At 38.6% G+C, this 21,114-nt stretch overlaps 1 protein-coding gene across 20 annotated transcripts in view, besides 3 other annotated features; it reads left to right on the top strand.

The window, feature by feature from the left end:
* The window catches only part of SLC41A2 (solute carrier family 41 member 2), a 156,946-nt gene that overhangs the window by 8,507 nt on the left and 127,325 nt on the right, over nt 1-21,114 (top strand). For 6 of the 20 annotated variants that reach the window (NM_001352169.2, NM_001387126.1, NM_001352170.3 and 3 more), the window contains exon 2: nt 18,449-18,608. The exons of 13 other annotated variants lie outside the window; for them this stretch is intronic. The gene's annotated coding sequence lies outside the window, so the exon portion shown is untranslated. Of the gene's footprint in view, nt 1-5,392; nt 5,980-18,448; nt 18,609-21,114 lie in introns of those variants that run through there. One more of the 20 variants, XM_011538811.3, reaches the window with a different exon arrangement.
* Nucleotides 19,287-19,716: an enhancer, noted in NCBI's record as "active region_6938". NCBI's record gives its function as "activates an Ori minimal core promoter by ATAC-STARR-seq in GM12878 lymphoblastoid cells {active_cell/tissue: GM12878}" and the evidence as "EXISTENCE:reporter gene assay evidence [ECO:0000049][PMID:35858748]".
* Nucleotides 20,615-20,909: a silencer, noted in NCBI's record as "tiled region #3023; K562 Repressive non-DNase unmatched - State 22:ReprW". NCBI's record gives its function as "represses a minimal TATA promoter and a strong SV40 promoter by Sharpr-MPRA in K562 cells {active_cell/tissue: K562}" and the evidence as "EXISTENCE:reporter gene assay evidence [ECO:0000049][PMID:27701403]".
* Nucleotides 20,615-20,909: an enhancer, noted in NCBI's record as "tiled region #3023; HepG2 Activating DNase matched - State 8:EnhW". NCBI's record gives its function as "activates a minimal TATA promoter and a strong SV40 promoter by Sharpr-MPRA in HepG2 cells {active_cell/tissue: HepG2}" and the evidence as "EXISTENCE:reporter gene assay evidence [ECO:0000049][PMID:27701403]".

The raw sequence follows: 21,114 nt of genomic DNA, 5'->3' as shown, positions 1-21,114 counted from the left end.
ATGGGGATTACAATTCAAGATCAGATTTGGGTGGGGACACAACCAGAGCATATCAGAGACCCTGTCTCAAAATTAAAATAAATGAATAAATGGAAGTTATTTATTCTTCCTCATTTAGAACTGTCCTCATTTAGAAAACAAAGTCCTAAGCCCCATAGTCAGGCATTCCATGTCTTCCCCAAGTTTCTCATTTTGCTGCTTGGTCATATTGAATAGTCTACTCATACCTTCCCATTTTCCCATCAGTTTTCTGCCTGATTACCATTCACCTTGTTGAAAGGCACTTTTCCTTCTCTCCCCTCCCCACCTCCCCTCAATTTCTCTAAATCTTACCTGTTCTTAAAGGTTCAGTGCACCAGCCAGGCACAGTGGCTCACACCTGTAATCCCAGTACTTTGGGAGGCTGAGGCAGGCGGATCACCTGAGGTCGGGAGTTCGAGGCCAGCCTGACCAACGTGGAGAAACCTCGTCCTTACTAAAAATACAATATTAGCCGGGCGTGGTGGCACATGCCTGTAATCCCAGCTACTCAGGAGGCTGAGGCAGGAGAATTGCTTGAACCCAGGAGGCAGAGGTTGTGGTGAGCTGAGATCGTGCCATTGCACTCCAGCCTGGGCAACAAGAGCGAAACTCCGTCTAAAAAAAGAAAAAGTTTAGCTCACCATCATTTTGTTCATTCCTCCTTTCAACTTGTAGTTGGTGAACACTTACATTTTGTCTAATACTGTGTGGATAATTTGCAGAATTTGGTAGCAAAAGCTACAAAATTAAAGGATGATCTTTATGTAAATCTGTATGTAAATCTTTGTGTAAAGGATGATCTTAATGTAAATAAGTGAAATAATGTGTTATAAAGTAAGAGCATTCTGGGAGCAGGTACTAAAGTTATAAGTGTTCCCTTATTTCTTCCACACTGTTTTTTATATTGGTACTTATAAACAAGGCAATTTATGATATGATTACTTTTCTGGATCTTCAGAAAATATTTGTTCATTTATTTTACTTATTTATTTATTTATTTGAGACGGAGTTTCGCTTTTGTTACCCAGGCTGGAGTGCAATGGTGTGATCTTGGCTCACCGCAACCTCTGCCTCCTGGGTTCAAGTGATTCTCCTGCCTCAGCCTCCCAAGTAGCTGGGATTACAGGCATGCACCACCACCATGCCCCACTAATTTTGTATTTTTAGTAGAGATGGGGTTTTTCCATGTTGATCAGGCTGGTCTCGAACTCCTGACCTCAGGTGATCCACCTACCTCGGCCTCCCAAAGTGCTGATTACAGGCATGAGCCACCACGCCCAGCCGTATTTGTTCATTTATTGATTGAGTAACAGAAGATAGTGCAGAGATAGTTCACCTATGGATCAGAGGTGAAACCTGTGAAGGAGCTGTTTCCATTCTTGAGCAATAAACTGTGTTCAAAAATAACTTGAATCCAGTTTACTGGGTTCTAGTGTTTGGCATGAAAGGAGCTGAGAGGGAACACTGATGATACACCTTGGTTCTATCATCCTTGTGCCCATGGCTGTGTACACTGGCGCCAGAGGATTATAACACAGAGAAATGTCTACAGGGGCTTCCTTATCATTAACTGGTTAGTCAGAAAGTCATGAACTCAAGTCCTGTGTCTTTATCTTACTAACGTTGTAACTTTGGGCATATTATTTAACCTCTCTGAGATGCAGTTTTCTAAACTGTAAAGGATGAACATACTTATCTTCAAGGTTTTTTTTACAAAAGATAAAATGAGGTCAGTATATATAAGAGAAAGCAATTCTTTTTGCTTTAAATAGTATTGATGTAGATAGAATGGGTGATCTCCTTTCCTTTAGGTTTAAGTTTTTATATATTTTTTAGGACTTACTGATTAGAGTTTAGTTCTTTGGAGCAGTGCTTTTTAAGTCTGAGAGTGGCATTTTTATAAGCTATTCATATTCCTGGTAAGTATAAATGATGTAGGAAGCAAATTAGGCCAAAGGACAACTTCCTGGGGAAATAAACATTTTTTTCGTCATTATCCAGTGTATTCTACTGGGACTTAGTGAAAGGCTACTGTTATAAATATGACAAAGAAAGCAAAATTTTTAGGGATCCCTAGCTCCCAAAAGCTCAGCTGCTACATTATATCTACTACATTAGCCTGTCTTTTAGATAAGAAACAATAAAGAATTTCCATAATAACAATTTTAATTATTTCCGAGAAAAGTCAGCAAACTCTTTTGTCACATTTCTAGATTAGTGGAATTTCAAAATGACCCCAGGCAAACTCATGGTGGATTCTAATGCTTTCATGAGTTCTGGTTGAGTAGACTTAGTTCATTAGCCCAGGATAACCCTTATTGTATGATTTAAGATAATCTGGTTTATTTGTAAATTATAAAAATGTTATTTAGATGTCCTTTGTAAATTAAAATATATATGAGATATGATATTTAAATTAAAAAACAGTATTAGGGCTAGTTCCTTATCCAACTTTCATTGTCTTTTTTTCCTTTTAAAACATTGTGGTTCCCTGAAGACTTGTACTTTTTGGTATATATATGTACCGTTTAGTATGTATTTATACTGGTCAGTGCATACATATATATATGTAAAATATGTATGTAATTTAAAAAATATACTGGCAATTTAATTTAATGAAAAATAGGATAAGTTATATAAAATATGAATATTAAAATCCAGTTGATTTTTTAAATAGAAAATTAGAACAAAATAGTTCATCTTAAAATTAAAAGCCAATGGCCAGGCATGGTGGCTCACGCCTGGAATCCCAGCACTTTGGGAGGCTGAGGTGGGTGGACCTGAGGTCAGGAGATCCAGACCAGCCTGGCCAACATGGTGAACTTTGTCTCTACTAAAAATACAAAAATTAGCCGAGCATGGTGGTGCGCACCTGTAGTCCCAGCTACTCAGGAGGCTGAGGCAGAAGAATTGCTTGAACCCAGGAGGTGGAGGTTGCAGTGAACCGAGATAGCACCACCGCACTCCAGCCTCGGTGACAGAATGAAACTCTGTCTCAAAAAAAAAAAAAAAAAAAAAAAAAAGGACAAAAATAAAAGCCAGAAATTCAGTACAGCAGCGTACAACATTTTTGTGATTGTATGACATAGTATATTTCATTGGTAAGAGGAGAAAGAGGTGGGAAGTTAGGTTTTGAGCCTTTTTAAAAAATGTGTAATAATAGTGATGAATAATGATAATATTAGCTAACATTTATTGAAGTTTGTTCTAAGCACTTTATATGTATTAAGTCATTTAATCCTCACCATAAACCAGTGAAGGAGATGTATTTACATGAGAAAACTGAGGTATAGAGGCATAGGTCCCACAGTTAGTGAAAGTCAGGATGTAAGCCAGTTTGACTCTGAAGCCCTAGCTCTTAACTGCTCTCATTATCATTAGTGTGTCGACACTTCTTGACAGTTAATTTTTGGAAGCAGATTATCTCTCTTAATTGAAGTGTGAAGATTTGACAAATAAGTCACTTGAAATTCCCCCGTAAAAATCACTCAATACAAGTCATCTTTCATTGAATGAAAGCATTGCAAACATCTCAGTAAAATTTGTACAGTTTCAAACATAGCATAAAGTACTTGCCGTAAAGATTCCATGTGAATAATACAACTTTAAATAAGCAGTTAGTATTCTCCTTTTAAAATGTGCCTGGGCCAGATGTGGTGGCCCATACCTGTAAACTCAACACTTTGGGAGCCCAAGGTGGGAAGATAGATTGTGGCCAGGAGTTCAAGACCAGTCTGAGCAATGTAGTGAGACTGTCTCCACAAAAAAATTTTTAAAAATTAGTTTGGTATGGTGGCATGCACCTGTAGTTCCAGCTACTAGGGAGGCTGAGGTGGGAAGATTGCTTGAGCCCAGGAGTTCAAGGAAAAAGTGAGCCAGGATCACACCCTGCACTCCATCCTGTTCCTCCTGGGCAATAGAGTGAGACAATGTCTCTACAAAAAAAGAAAGAAAAAGAAAGTGCCTGATTGAAATTTGTAAACCCAGTTATGGGATTTTGATTGTGTATGGATTTTATAACTTGAATTTAAAACTCCTATGCTACTTCTTAGAATAAAAAATCTATTCCTTTCTCAATCCCTGGGAATAATGCTTAATATGCAGTCGAAGCATGTTTGAGCACTAGAAAGGGTCGCCAAAAAAGATAAAAAAATTTTAATGTTTTATCATTTTTTAAAAACAATGAAGTAGAATTCATGGGGGAAAATCATACCTTTTTTGACTCTTATACTTGTTTTGTTTGGCGTTATTTTCATTTTGAATTATATGTGATGGATTGAAGGGGAGATACACCATGGACTTGGTGTATCACCTTGCTTCACCTTGGAGGTTGATGGTTCATTTGTAGTTATTTATTCACAAGTGTGTAACCCATATAAGATATAAGTGAATTATGGCTATGAAAAAATGGAGTACAGCAGAATTCTGAATTGTCTGAAAGTATTTAGGATGTATTAATAGAATGAAGGCTGTTGCCTTTTACTTAAAGATAACTGTAGAATATTGATTGAGACAATTTTTTGGATATGTTATGAAATGGAAAAAAGCAGGATGCAAAGCAGTATGTCCAATATGAGCCTATTTTTGTCTTAAACATATATTTGGAAAAAATATAGTAAATTTATATATACCAATATCTCTGGATGGTGGATTTTCAGGATAAACAGTTTTTGTGTATCTTTTGTGGTTTCTTTTTCTTTTCTTTTTTTCTTTTTTTTTGAGGCGGAGTCTCGCTCTGTCACCCATGCTAGAGTGCAGTGGTGCGATCTCGGCTCACTGCAAGCTCCACCTCCTGTGTTCATGCCATTCTCCTGACTCAGCCTCCTGAGTAGCTGGGACTACAGGCGCCCGCCACCACGCCCGGCTAATTTTTTGTATTTTTAGTAGAGATGGGGTTTCACCGCATTAGCCAGGATGGTCTCAATCTCCTGACCTTGTGATCTGACCCCATTGGCCTCCCAAAGTGCTGGGATTACAGGTGTGAACTACCGTGCCCAGCCTTCTTTTCTTTTCTTTTCTTACTTTTTATTTTTATTATTTTTTGTGTGTGTGATGGAGTCTTGCTCTGTTGCCCAGGCTGGAGTGCAGTGGTGTGATCTCGGCTCACTGCAACCTTGCCTCCTGGGTTCAAACGATTCTCCTGCCTCAGCCTCCCGAGTAGCTGGGATTACAGGTGTGCACCACCACGCCTGCCTAATTTTTGTATTTTTATTAGAGACAGGGTTTCACCATGTTGGCCAGGCTGGTCTCGAACTCCTGACCTCACGTGATATGCCCACTTTGGCCTCCCAAAGTGCTAGGATAATAGGCATCAGCCACTGTGATGCCTGACCTTTTTTTTTTTTTTTACATTGAATACATATTACTCTTATGAAAAAAATTAAAACAATAGAAGAGAACTCTATGCCAGTGGATATTAGAAACACACTTTTAACTAATCTGGGAAAGAAGGGTAGTTGGGAATTTTTATGAGCAAAGATCACTATATGACAGCTAAATTGGCTTTTGGGGTGGTTTTGAGAATAGTTTTAGCCTAAATTTCAAGCTGGGCTTAGAACCCTCCAGAAGAAAGTTCTTTTGAAAACAGACAAACTCACAAACTGGTATTTGAATAAAATAGTGCTCAGCCCTGACCAAAGGGTAGAAGAGAAACTTGATTGCAGGAGTAAAGAACTCAGAGTTAGGTCATTGTTTCAACTTGATGCCAAGATAATTGAGTAACATGATACTGTGTACCTGTGATTTACGTAATCTCAATTTAGTTTCTTGTGATTAGTTGGTGCACTTGAACTGATTTACGGAAAGTGCAGTTTGGAGAAGGTAGAAGCTTGGCCTCATCCCTTGGGTGGTGCCATTACGAAGGTGTCCCAGTAAGGGAAGGTGATGTTAGGCCACCACCTGAGGAAGACCTTGGTGTGGAGGCTGTCCTGCACTGCCCATTTCATAATCTAATGGGAGGTAATGTGCTTCAGTGCCACCAGTTCATGGCAGAATGCTACTTCTCTCTGGGGATAGGGGAAAGAGAAGGCCTTGTGGATGAGTCCTCCAAATAAGTATTTAAGATGTGATAGCCATGAAAATTATGAGATATTCGTGGTCTAAAATTGTAGAATAAAAATGATAACCTTACAGATGGCAAGTAATTTTTTTCCTTTTCCTTTTTTCCCTTTTTTTTGTAGTTGCAAGATTTAATAGAGCGAAAACAGAGCTCCCATACAAAGGGAGGGGACCCAAAAAGGGTAGCCGTTGCTGCCTCGAATGCCTGGGTTTATATCCCGATCATTGTCCCTCCTGCTGTGCTCTCAGGCGATAGATGATTGGCTATTTCTTTGCCTACTATTTTTGCCTAATTAGCATTTTAGTGAGCTCTCTTTACTACCTGATTGTTTGGGTGCGAGCTAAGTTGCAAGCCCCGTGTTTAAAGGTGGATGCGGTCACCTTCCCAGCTAGGCTTAGGGATTCTTAGTTGGCCTAGGAAATCCAGCTAGTCCTGTCTCTCAGTCCCCCCTCTCAGCAGGAAAACCCAAGTACTGTTGGAGAGGTTGGCCGATGACCGCTCTAACTGCTTCCTGCTGAATTGGGGCATAATAGGGGTTGTGCAGTTGAGATTTCCTCAGGAGAGGTGCCTTCGATGTCATTAACATCGGAGTATGGGCTAGCAGGCTGGTCCAGGGGTCCGTGGTAGATCTTAGTCATGGACTGCATCTGGAGCTCCATTTGAAGAACCATTTGTAGCTTTACAGCTTCGATTCTGGAAGAAACAAACTTAACAAGGAGGTTAAAGATACAGGGTCGAAAGAGGAGGAGCAATATTATAGCTGCTAGAGGTCCTAAGAAGGGGAGACTCCAGGGCATCCATTGGCTGAGGAGGCCCCAGGGTCTGGTGTTTTGAAGCTCCTCTGCTCTACGTTGTATTTGATCTCGAATTTCTTTAACTTTCTCGGTGATGATTCCAGATTGTTTAGTTTTCTTAAAAAGATAATTTTGTTTTTCTTCTAAGCATTGATACATTGGCTCCCTTTCTTCCTTTCTCTTCTCTTAAAAAGAAGGTTTTTGCTTTTTTTCCTTTTAAACTTTAACCCATTGGCATCTTTTCTGCACCTTAAAATTCTGGAAGCTTTTAACTTTCAGTTTAATTATACAAAGTCAAGTGTGTATTTTAATTTGGTCCTTGAGTGGGTTTTGCATTTTAAAAATTGAACTGTGAGAGTATAAAAATGTGTTAAGGATAAAGTATGGAAGTATACTTTTGTATGAATCCTGAATAACAATTTCTACTCATTTGAAATGCTAATGAACTGCAGTTACTTAGTTTCTAAATTTAGCTATTTCAGATTTATAAGTGCCAGGGAACTCATTATTTCGTGTAGGTATTTTTTATAAGCTGACTCTGTGTAACAAGATAGAGTACGTAAGAATAAAACATAAATAATACAACTTACAGAGTACCAGAGAAAATAAAACTAGGAGTATAACATTAGATGAGTAAATCAATTATAAAATTTGAGTTTCAGACGTAGCTGTAAGTTTCCTCACTGCTAAAGTAAAAAAAGCTGGCTCAATTTTTATTGAAGAAAAGCAAAAATACTATTTTTAAGTAGCAAGACCTTCTATAGCTGTAATTTCTAAATAAACGTTCCTGTGACTGTATAGGGGAGGAGGTGCTGAGTGATGAGGAGGTAAAGTTCTCTGAAATCATTTGCAGGAAATTAATGAATTTAACATGGTTTTTTTTTTTTTTTGGACAAGATCTCACTCTATGGCCCAGGCTGGAGTGCAGTGATATGATCATGGCTTACTACAGCTTCGACTTCTCAGGCTCAGGTGATCCTCCCACCTCAGTCTCCAGAGTAGCTGAGAATACAGGCATGAGATACCATGCCTGGCTAATTTTTGTATTTTTGTAGAGTCGGGTTTCTGCCATGTTGCTCAGGCTGGTCTCAAACTCCCTGGCTCAAGCGATCCACCTGCCTCGGCCTCCCAAAGTTCTAGGATTACAGGTGTGAGTCACTGTGCCCAGCCACATGTCAATTGTAAGAGAGAGTCATTAAGTGTTTGGTGGTTTTTTAAAAATAAGATACATGTAAGAAATGTTTAAGACAGAGTAGGGGGAATAAATATACCTCTTTTTTTTGTTGTTTAAAAGCACTTTCTCAACTTCAAAATAGAGTTCTCTAATTCACCTTGTTTGCCATCCATCTACTGGTTGACTTGTCTCAAACAGCAACACTAATACTTTTGGTAATTGTTTGAATGAATAAAAACTGTTTATTCATTGCTGTCAGTTTAATCATAATTCCAAATTAAATGACTGAATTATTTTTCACTTTTTAAAATTTAATTTTACTTTAAGTTCTGGGAGACATGTGCAGAATGTGCAAGTTTGTTACATAGGTATACGTGTGCCATTGTGATTTGCTGCACCCATCAACCCATCATCTAGGTTTTAAGCCCCACATGCATTAGCTATTTGATATTTTTCACTTTTCAGTTGCCTGGTTTGATAGGAGCTAGATATAATCTAACTGATAGAATGAACTGTACTCTGTTTATGCAATCCACTTAGTTCTTTGGACACATAGCATATTTATTCTGTCAACATTTTCTCAGTTAAGAGTTGGTTTAACTGGATTGTGTTTGAGTTGATTCATTGGCTTGCTTTTGATATATCCTTCTTCCAAATAAAAATTCCTTTAAAAAATTTATATTAACTTTTTTTGGGAGGCGAGAGTTGAGGGTTGTGATTCTGAGAACAAAATCCGTGGCTCTGGGTCTGGTTTTATTTGAAAAATTATTTGCGATGTATTGAGGATTTATTATATAGAGGATTTATTCAATGGATCCATTATTCTGTAGGCTTAAACAAATGCTTTACAAATGTTTAGTCATGTAGAAACTTTAGGATTGATAAATGTTATGACATTATTCTTTTCTGTCAGTGGGCAACCCTAGAAATGAGCAATTGTTTTATGGAATCAGCTAGCTCTGGGGTATCAGTAGCAAAATTGTGTCTGTGATGTCTCAAGCTCTCAAGCTTTTGTGTTTGTGCAGATAATTCAGGAATACCCATTTTATAGCAATTTGGTGTTACCGACATGACAGTTGATTGTCCTTTCACCTCTCTTCCATGTTCCCCAACTTGTTAAGAAAGTTTGATTTCACTCTCTGTTCCCTAAATGAAACCTATGTGAGTTCTTGAATTCAGTTTCAGTGGAAAGTTTCTAGGTTAAGCCAAAAAGTCAAGATTTTTCTTCGGAGCTAACTTTTTTTTTTTTTTTTTTTTTGAGGCAGAGTCTTGCTCTGTCACTCGGAGGCAGGCGGATCACCTGAGGTCGGGATCACCATGATCTCGGCTCACTGCAACCTCTGCCTCCCGTTTTCAAGTAATTCTCCTGCCTCAGCCTCCTGAGTAGGTGGGACTACAGGCGTCTGCCACCACACCCAGCTAATTTTTTGTATTTTTAGTAGAGATGGGGTTTCACCCTATTGGCCAGGCTGGTCTCAAACTCCTGACCTCAGGTGATCCACCTGCCTTGGCCCTCCAAAGTGCTGGGATTATAGGTGTGAACTACCATGCCCGGCCAGGAGCTAACTTTATGTATTTTAGCCAAAAAAAAAAAGGAGATAAAAGGGAGATACTTTCAGATACTTTCATTCCATTTTAGAGGTGAGCCTTTTTTTTTTTTAGCTTATATTTTATTTTTTTATTTTTTTGTTTTTTATTATACTTTAAATTTTAGGGTACATGTGCACAACGTGCAGGTTAGTTCCATATGTATACATGTGCCATGTTGGTGTGCTGCACCCATTAACTCGTCATTTAACAGTAGGTATATCTCCTAATGCTATCCCTCCCCCCTCCCCCCCAGGTGAGCCTTTTTAAAAAAAATAAAAATAAAAATAATAAGGCTGGGCTCGGTGGCTCACTTCTGTAATCCTAGCACTTTGGGAAGCTGAGGCAGGTGGATCACCTGGGGTCGGGAGTTCAAGACCAGCCTGACCCACATGGAGAAACCCCATCTCTACTAAAAATACAAAATTAGCCGGGGTGGTGGTGCATGCTTGTAATCCCAGCTACTCGGGAGGCTGAGGCAGGAGAATCGCTTGAACCTGGGAGGCAGAGGTTGCGGTGAGCCGAGATCACGCCGTTGCACTCCAGCCTGGGCAAAAAGAGTGAAACTCCGTCTCAAAAAAAAAATAATAATAATAGGAAACAGAAACGTAGAGGAGGTATACTTTAAGAAAAAATTAAAAGAACAAGGTACCCTTGCAGAGTGGCAAAAGTAAGAATATATAATAACCATAAAATAAGTCTATTTCTAGGTGTGTCTGTATGTGTGTATGTGTGTCTGATAGTACTGTGGATCTTAGTATGTTTATATAAATATACATATCTGCTCAACAAGTTCTGGGATATTCAACTAAATGAAATAATTACTGGTAATAGATTGCATTAAAACTTTTTCTTTTATTGTTGTGGGAAGAAAACAAAATGTTAAACTCTGATTTAATACCATCCTTAGTAATTAGGAATGACCTGTGTCTCCTGACTTTCAGCTCTACTGGATTTCCTAAGCATTGTTATTTAACTTTTGCAATGGAACAGAATGCCTCTTTCAGTACGATAGGCAGAGTTTCTCCAATATTCTGGTTTGGTAAATCCACATACATACAATATACTTTGTTTTCTTTATTTTTAAAAATAAGCAATTTTATGGCTGGGCATGGTGGCTCGTGCCTGTAATACCAGCACTTTGGGAGGCATAGGCAGGAGGAAGTGATCACTTGAGGCCAGGAGTTTGAGACCAGCCTGGGGAACATAGCAAGACCCTGTCTGTACAAACTATTTAAAAATTAGCTGGGTGTGGTGTCCTGCACCTATAGTCCTAGCTACTCGGGAGGCTAAGGTGCAAGGATCACTTGAGTCCAGGAGTTTGAGGCTTTGGTGAGCTATGATTGCAACACTGCACTCTAGCCTGAGTGACAGAACAAGACCCTTTTTTATTTTTGTAAGTAAAGTTGAATTCATAAGGAGTGTCTGGTCTTATTTTCCTTTAAGTCAATGATTCCCTGACATGACTCTATAAACCAGTGGTAAACTATGACAAAGGTCTCACAGGAAACATGAAATGAACTTTTCCATAAATCTAAATGTGTTCAGTGAAAAGGACTGCCCTTTAGTCTGAGATTTTGTCCTTTCTACATTTTTGGTGTTAAAATGTATACTTATTTTTTAGGAAAAGATTGTTTTTAACTTTGTAAAATTTTGGGAGGAAATTTTGGTTTTTGAGATTCAAATGTTTGGAAGCCAGTGTTTTAAAACTCCTTGTCCATAGACTGCAATCTTTAAGTGCTCAGTATATCAGAGAGACTCTCCTAAACTAAAATGGATAGGAATTTGTGGGTCAGATTACTTTTTAAAACATATACTTTTTAAGTTAGCTTTTGTTAGGTCATGCTGTGATAATAAACAATTCCAAACTCTCAGTGGCTTTCTGGGACAAAGCTTTATTTCTTTCTCCTGTTATGTGTACCCTGTTGATTGCTGTGGGGTGGCTGTGGTTGCTGTATCTCTCCATCTGTCGTTGTCTTGGGACCCAGTCTGAAGAAGCAGCAACTGCCTAGGACATGCCATTCTCATGACAGAGGGAGCAAAGAGACATAGCTGAATTGTTTCTGTTTGTAAGTGTTGCTGCTGCTCTTATTCTGATGGCCAAAGAGAGTCCCATGGCCAAACCTGATGCTAATGGAGATGAGGAAGTAGAATTCTCCTACAGTCCTTGCAAATAACATGGCAACAGGTAGAGACGAGAATCCTCCTGTAGGAGGGGACCAATAACGGGGAGTAATAATAACATCCATCACAGTATTAATCACATCGAAGCAGTCTTGTATATGCACAATTTGAAGAACAATAATAAACACTAGGTATCCACCACCAAGCTTAAAAAATATAACCAATACCTTTGGAACCTCCTGGGTGCTTTTGTATCACTTCACCAAATGTAAGCACTCTTGAAATGTGTGTTTGTCATATCCTTATTCTTATATTCCATTGTATAGATATGCCACAATTTATCCTTTCTCATGGATTAATTCCATTTTTTTTTTTGCTAGTATGGATAATGCTACCAAGAACATTCTTTCATGTGTCTTCCGGTGTACAGTGTGAATTTCTTTAGGGCAGGGATTTAAGGATGGAAATGCTGGACTGTGGGGCACATGCCTCTCAGTTTTGGTAGATAATGCCAAATTGTTTTCCAAAGTGCTTTTGGCAGTTTATACTTGCACAAGTAGGGCTGTATGCATTACCACTGCTTACATCCTTGTTCACACTTGAAAGCCTGGTAATATCAAATGATTCCTTTTTGAATGTATTGGGAGGTGCTTCTCAAAGTAACACAAATCCTTTGGGATACCATTTAAAGTACAGACTTTGATTCAGGAGGTTGAGTTGGGATGGGAGCTGACTGAGGTCCTGCATTTCTTAGTCTCCCAGTTGATGCCATGCCACTGGACCCAAGACCACACTTTGATAACAAGAATCTAAGGCACTAAATACAGTCATGCATCACTTAATGAAGGGCTTAATGATGGGGATAAATTCTGAGAAATGTGTTGTTAGATGCATTTCATCATTGCGTATCATAGAGTATGCTAACACAAACCTAGATGGTAGAGCCTACCACACGCCAAGGCTGTGTGGTATGGCCTATCGCTCCTAGGCTACAGTACAGTAACGTGTTATACAGGTTTGTATAGCACATTACTCTACTGAATATTATAGGCAGTTGTTACACAATGGTAAGTATTTGTGTATCTAAAAATAGAAAACGTATAGTAAAAACACAGTATAAAAAATAAAAAATGATACACCTGTATAGGGCATTTACCATGAATGGAGTTTTCAGTACTGGAAGTTGCTCTGGGTAAGTCAGTAAGTGAATGGTGAGTGAATGTTAAGGGCTAGGACATTACTGTGCACTACTGCAGACTTTATAAACACACTTAGGCTACACAAAATGTACAAAAATATTTTTCTTTGTTAAACTATAGCTTACTGCAACTTTTAATTTTTCATTGTTTCAATTTTAATTTAAAAAATTGTTTAGAGGCAGGGTCTTGCTCTGTCATCCACTGGGGTGCAGTGCACAATCATAGCTTACTGTAATCTTGAGCTCCTGGACTCAAGGAAAACTCCTGCCTTGGCCTCCCAAAGTGTTGGGATTACAGGCATAAGCCATTGCACCCAGCCTGTAACATTTTTACTTTATAAACTTTAAATATTAAAAATATTGACTTTTGTAATAATACTTAGCTTAAAACACACACACATTGTACAGCTGCACAAAATATTTTCCTTCTTTGTTTCCTTATTCTATATACTTTTTTCAATTTTTGTTTTTTTCTTTTACTTTTAAAAACCTTTTTATTAAAATCTAAGACACACACTGATATAGTTTGGCTCTGTGTCCCTACCCAAATCTCATCTTGTCGCTCCTGTAATTCCCACATGTTGTGGGAGGAACCCAGTGGGAGGTGACTGAATTACGGGGGCAGGTGTTTCTTGTGCTGTTCTCATGATAGTGAATGGGTCTCATGAGATCTGATGGTTTTAAAAAATGGGAGTTGCCCTGCACAAGCTCTCTCTTTGCTTGCCACCATCTACGTAAGATGTGACTTCCTCCTCCTTGCCTTCTGCCGTGATTGTGAGGCCTCCCCAGCCACATGAGTCCAACTAAACCTCTTTCTTTTGTAGATTGCCCAGTCTTGGGTATGTCTTTATCAGTAACATGAAAATGGACTAATACACACACACATTAGCATAGGCCTCCATAGGGTCAAGATCATCACTATCACTGTCTTCCACCTTCACATCTTGCCCCACTGCAAGGTTTCCTGGGCCAGTAGCACACAAAGGAGCAGGTATACATGCTAAAATAATATAAAAAGTATAGTATAGTAAATTCATAAACCAGTAACAAAATCATTATTTATTATCATTGGCAAATATTATGTACTACATATATGTAACTGTATGTGTTATACTTTTATATGACTGGCAGCACAGTAGGTGTATTTATACCAGCATCACCACAAACATGTGGCTAATGCCTCATGCTATGACATTTTTACAGCTATGATGTCACTAGGCAACAGGAATTTTTTTTTTTTTTTAAGACAGTCTCGCTCTGTTGCCCAGGCTGGAGTGCAGTGGTGTAACCTTGGCTCACTGCAACCTCTGCCTCCTGGGTTCAACCAATTCTCATGGTTCAGCCTCCCGAGTAGCTGAGATTACAGGTGTGTGCCTTCATGCCCAGCTAATTTTTGTATTTTTACTAGAGACAGGGTTTCGCCGTGTTGGCCAGGCTGGTCTCAAACTCCTGGCCTCAAGTGATCCACCTAGCATGGCCTCCTAAAGTGCTGGAATTACAGGCGTGAGCTCTCTGCACCTGGGCTGGCAATAGGAATTTTTGAGCTCCATTGTAATCTTATGGGACCACCATCATATATGTGGTCCATCCTTGACCACAATGTTGTTAGGCAGTACGTGACTGTAGTCAGAGTGGCCTTTGTGTTGTTTGCCTGTAGCACCTAAAGAGTCTTTGGAACAAAACCAGTAAATAACAACATTTGTTACATCCAATTTAATCCAGGATTTTTGAGTCATGCTTGATATTTTTATTGACAGTACATGAACAATTTCAATAATTCTTAAATTTTATTTATTTTTAATAAATAATAGCTATATATTTATGATATGTAATGTGATATTTTGATCTACGTATACGTTATAGAAAATATTCAATCAAGATAACTAACATATACATCACCTCACTGACTTTTTTTTGTGGTGAGAATATTGAAAATCTATTTTTTTTTGGCATTTTGAAACATAGAATACATTATTAACTGTGGTCAACATACAGTGCAATAGATCACCAAAACTTACTCTTCCAGGCCGGGCGTGGTGGCTCATGCCTATGATCCCAGCACTTTGGGAGGCTGAGGAGGGCAGATCACCTGAGGTCAGGAGTTTGAGACCAGCCTGGCTAACATGGTGAAACCCCATTTCTACTAAAAATACAAAAAATTAGCCGGGCGTGGTGGCATGCCCCTCTAATCCCAGCTACTTGGGAAGCTGAGGCAGGAGAATTGCTTGAACCTGGGAGGCGGAGGTTGCAGTGGGCCAAGATCGTACCATTGCACTGCAGCTTGGGCAACAAGAACGAAACTCTATCTCAAAACAAACAAACAAACAAAAAAAACAAAAACTTTCTTTCCCAGTCTAACTGAAACTTTATACCTTTTGAGCAACAACTTTCCTTTCCCCATTCCTCTTCCTCCCCACCGCCCATTGTAACCACCTGTCTACTCTCTGTTTCTAAGAGATCAACTTTTTCAGATTCCACATAAGTACAATATTTTTCTTTCTGTGCCTAGCTTATTTCAATTAGCGTAATGTCCTCCGGTTCCGTCCATGTTGTCAAGAATTACAGAATTTTCTTACTTTTTAAAGCTGAATAGTATTCCATTGTAGTTTATAAACCACATTGTATTTATCGATTCATCTGTTGATGAACACCTAGATTACTTCCATATCTTGGATATTGTGAACAATACTGAAATGAACATGGGAGTGCAGATAGAATCCCAAGCCATGATTTTAACCACTCTACTTTCTGTACCTGTTGTAGATGCTCTTTTTTTTTTCTCTAAACGTCTGTCTTGTACAAATATTGGCCATTAAGGAATTAAGTAGTGGATCTTTTCATCTAAGCATTTTGTTGCTTTATAGTTTACAAAGAGAGTCCAGAATTTAAACCTAAGCCATCTAAGCTTCTGAATAGCTTATACTGAAGTAAGAATCCTAGGAGTTTTAAAGACACTGGTTCTTCCCAGCTGTGCTACTATTAGATTAGCATAACTTATTAAAGTAGCTAGAGATAAATATCCCAATGGCACTCTTTAAGCACAGTAAAGCCAGTGGAAACTGCCCAATTTTATTTCTTATTTTTTTAATTTACTTTTTTTTCCATTCATTGATGGATTGATGGATAACAAATATAGAACAAATGATTTAAATTTTGTGGTATATATGCACAATGCCCATTTTAAATCGACCATAAAACTTAAACAATTTTTTTTTTTTAGTAGCTTTATGAGTACAAGTAGTTTTGGGCTACATGGATGAATTGTATAGTGGTGAAGTCTGGGATAGCGCACCCATCACCCAAGTAGTGTGCATTGTACCTAATAGGTGGTTTTTGTCCTTTACCCTCCTCCCACCCTCCCCCTTTCTGAGTCTCCAGTGTCCATTATACCACTCTGTATGCCTTTGCATACCCATAACTTAGCTCCCACTTAAAACTAAGAACATGCAGTAGTTGGTTTTCCATTCCTGAGTTACGTCACTTAGAATAATGGCCTCTAGCTCTCCATCCAAGTTGCTGCAAAAGACATTATTTTTTCTTTTTTATGGCTGAGCAGTATTTCATGGTGTATATATATGGGTGTGTGTGTGTGTATGTGTGTGTGTGTATTTATTTTCTTTATCCTCTAATTCATTGATGGGCACTTAGGTTTGTTCCATATCTTTGCAATTGTGAGTTGTGCTGTAATAAACAGATAAACATACGCGTGCAAGTGTCTTTTTGATGTGATTACTTCTTTTCCTTTGGGTAGATACTCAGTAGTGGGATTGCTGAATCGAATGGTAGATCCACTTTTAGTTCTTTAAGAAATCTCCATACTATTTTCCATAGAGGCTGTACAAATTTACATTCCCACCAGCAGTATATAAACATTCTCTTTTCACCACATCCATGATAACATCTATTGTTTATTGACATTTTAATAATGGGAGTTTTGGCTGGGGTTAGGTGGTATTTCATTGTGGTTTTAATTTGCATTTCCCTGATGATTAGTGATTTTGAGCACTTTTTAATATGTTTGCTGGCCATTTGTATGTCTTCTTTTGAGAAGTGTCTATTCATGTCATTTGCCTACTTTCTGATGGGATCATTTGTTTTTTTCTTGCTGATTTGACTTCCTTGTAGAACCTGGATATTAGTCCTTTGTGGGCTGCATAATTTGCAAATGTTTTCTCCCATTCTGTAGGTTATGTTTACTCTGATGATTGTTTTTTTGGCTCTGCAGAAGCTTTTTCATTCAATTATGTCTCATTTATTTATTTATTTTTATTGCATTTGCTTTTAGGGGTCTTGGCCATAAATTCTTTGCCTACACCAATGTCCAGAAGAGTTTTTTTCCTAGGTTTTCTTCTAGAATTTTTATGGCTTTAGGTATTAGATTTAAGTCTTTAATCCATTTGGAGTTAATTTTTGTATAGGGTGAGAGATAGGGATCCAGTTTCATTCTTCTACATGTGGCTGTCTAATTTTCTCAGCGCTGTTTATTGAATAGAATGTCCTTTTCCCAATTTATGTTTTTATGTGCTTCTTGAATATCAGTTGGTTGTATTTGGCTTTATTTTTGGGTTCTTTATTCTCTTCCTTTGGTCTATATATCTACTTTTATACCAGTATCATGCTGTTTTGGTTACTATATCTTTTTTTTTTTTTTTTTTTTTTGAGACAAAGTCTCACTGCGTCACCCAGGCTGGACTGCAGTGAGGCAAACACAAATCACTGCAGCCTTGACCTCCCAGGCTCCAGTGCTTCTCCCACCTCAGCCTCCCGAGTAGCTGGGACTACAGGTGCACGCCATCATGCCCAGCTAATTTTTGCATTTTTTGTAGAGACAAGGTTTCGCCATGTTGCCCAAGCTGGTTCCAACTCCTGGGCTCAAGTAGTTCTCCTGACTCGGCCTCCCAAAATGCTGTGATTGCAGGCATGAGCCACTGCACCCTGCCTACTATATCCTTATAGTATAGTTTGAAGATAGGTAATGTGATGCCTCCAGATTTGTTCTTTTTGCTTAGGACTGCTCACAAAGCTATTTTGATTGTAATTCATTATTCAGCGAGAAGAGTTTATAATAGGTGATTTATTTAGTTAAAGGAAGAAAGTTTAAGGAATCATTAAGGAGATAATAGACCTTGTCAATAAGCAAGCATTGAAATAACTGATAAGTATTCATTAACCAGATAAAAAGAAGGATAAAATTTTAAAAGGCCCACATTTTCCTCAATGCATGATGGTGATATGTGGTCTGTGGCATATACTTGTATCAAGGTCATTCCTGGCACTTTCAAACTATATTATTTAAAAACACACACACACAAAAACAAAAACAGCTGTTAGGACAGAAACACCACTCAGAGTAGCTTAAGCAATGAAGAAGATTTATTGGCCTATAGTTGGGAAGAACAGGAATGGAGTGGGTTTTAACTAAATGGTATAGAGATTCTAATTATGTTGTCAGGACTCTCTTACCGCCTAGCTCTGATTCCCTCTTTCTGTAGATCCTCTTCTCATGTAGACGGCTTTCTTCCAAGTGGTGGTGATGATGGTGGTGGTAGAAGGAGCTTTGTGAGGAGGAAGACACAGTGACAGAAAGTTTCAGAATTAAGTCATTCCAAAGGAAAGTCTTCCCCCAAAGGCCTTCCCCTCTGAAATAGCCCTGTAAGTCATTTATTCTTTGTTTAATCAACTGTTTCCTCCATAGCCTTTATCACAAATTATCTCTTTTATTTATGTGCTTACCTGATTATTGTTTTTCCTTCCAATTACAAGGTAAAATCCATCAGAGCAGTAACTGTGCCTATTTGTTTCATTACTGTAGCCCCAGCATCTTGTAGGCACTCAGGAAATAGTAAGCAGCAAATATATAAAATTCCAGGAAGGGACTCAGATCCTCCTTGAGCCATTTGTCATTATTGTGGTCTGCAGGGTAGGGTACTGTGATTGATATACCTACTAGAATCTCATGGAATAGGGAAATGGATTTACCATAGGTAATGGAGATACCATTAGCTAAAGGAATTGGGAAAAGATGCTGAGCAAACAACAACAAAAAATATCTGTCTAGCATATATGTTTTTTGTCTTTTAAGCACAGTTTCATATTTTACCCAACTGCCTAGTCTGATGTGTAAGGTTATGCAGATTCTGCACTGCATGAAGGTACTTGCTGAGGGGACAGAGCGTGGGCTAAAATCCAGCCCAGAGCTCCATTTACAGGGCTTCCTTTTTCCAGGAGGCACTCTGTTTTTAATTTTGTACACATTTGGATGGTCTCTGTGTATGGTATACCTGGTTGAGTATCCATCTCTGCATCTAAACTTCTGGATAGCTTATACCGAAGTAAGAATACTAGGAGCAAAAGTATGACCTGGATGTGTCTGTGCATCTGGATCCCCCTGGCCAGTTCAGTGTTGACTATGTGCTTAGCCACGTTCTGCACATATTCTGCGAGATGACTGATCTTGGGAAATTCTGAGATGACTGGTCTTGGGAAATTCCCCCTTGTTTTCTTTCTCTCCTCTCTATTTTTCTACCTAGTTTTGCTATTTGGTCAGGTTTTCAAAGCACAGATTTTGAGCTTTCTGAACTTTAGAATGGCTGAATGGTGACACTGTCATCTCTCTTTCTTGTTTACCTACATTTCTCTGCATTTCCATTTTGATCATCCTGGTAATTCTGCATCAGGAGGGAAGTTTCCTATCACTGGTCCTCCTATGGAATAGACCTGTCTTATAGCTCAATCTCTTTGGGGTTTGTTTTGCATTTTATTTGATTAAAGATCTATTGGGGCAGTGAAATACTCACTACTTTTTAAAAAGGTAGATGAGTTGAAGGAACAGACACCCACTCAATCTAACTCATGTGAAGCTGAAGGGAATCTCCTAAGTTCCAGATGTATAGCTCAGCCTTTCATTACCTGGAAGGCTCTCTGCCCTTTTCTCTCTTTCGGGGACTACATCGTTTTATCTCTGCTTCACTCTGGCCATTGGTTTCATTAATCTGATTTTCTTTAAACACCAACTTTCTGTCTATACTGGCCAGCCTATAAGTGGCAAAAATGGGAACTAGTGCTTAATCTACTCATTGCAAGTCCACAGGAAGTCTGCACCATAATCATCACATGGAAAAGTTAAAAATAAAAAAGATTTATGGGCCTCAAACACACACATTCTGAGTCAGTAGGTCTGGTGTCCTGGAATCTGTATTTTAAAAATGTTCCTCAGAAGGAATTCCCAGATCCCAGACCCCTCTGTAATCACAAGAGAGAGGAAAGGAAAGTGAGTGAGTGATGGAATTGATGAACCAGGCCCTAACACCCACTTACGTCCTACATAGCCCCTTCTCTTTCTCCCTTTGCCATTCCTTGCTATTGATCTTCCTATCCAGAGAGGAGATGGATATTCTAAGACATTGGAAACAAATACTGAGGAATATAGTAGTTTTCATTAAAAGCAGCAATAGTAGCAGCAACAATTCTCAGTCTAGCTTGGCAGGAACGCAGTCCAGTTAGGTTTTGGGGCCACCCATCCCTTATCAAATCAGTGCCATTTTTTTGGTCTTAGATGCTCTTGGAAGTATAAGACAGGCCTAGGTGTTTCTGAGAAACACCTGATAGCTTGGAAAGCCTTGCCAGCTATGGCAGCAATTGTCAGGTTTTCTTCCTGGTCAGGTCGTGGGTGACCTTGCAGCTTCAGTGCCCATCACTCTTTGATGTGCCACAGTTATGTGTTTGTGTCTCTTAGTTCAAAGTCTTCAAAGAGACTCTAGTCACTGAGTGGCCAGCCAGTCAGGGTTCTACCCTGGGATTATGGGCCAGAGCAGACTGAGAACTATGAATGGACAGGGCAGGGCATAAATAAGTGCGTTACAAGCTTTCTTCTGGCTGGTTTGCAAATGGAGGTTTAAGTGAATATTTGTAATTTCTTTTTAGTTTTGTTATTCCTAAATGAAAGAAGGTTTATATTCCTAAATCAATTATAATGAGCTTTTATATCTCAGAACTACAAATATGACTCCAGCCTCATTTTATTTGTGAAATAAATGCCCTATATAGTATTCAGGATACCTACCAAGTGTTTTTATAGTAAACATCATCCTTGTCTCTTCATATCTTAATAATAAAATGTATATTATATTAAGTTGTAAATAAAGTAATATGGTTTATT

Source organism: Homo sapiens, chromosome 12 (assembly GCF_000001405.40).
Source record: "Homo sapiens chromosome 12, GRCh38.p14 Primary Assembly".
Lineage (NCBI taxonomy): Eukaryota > Metazoa > Chordata > Mammalia > Primates > Hominidae > Homo > Homo sapiens.
The sequence above is the reverse complement of the archived record's forward strand: the minus strand, read 5'-3'. Positions and strand labels throughout refer to the sequence as shown.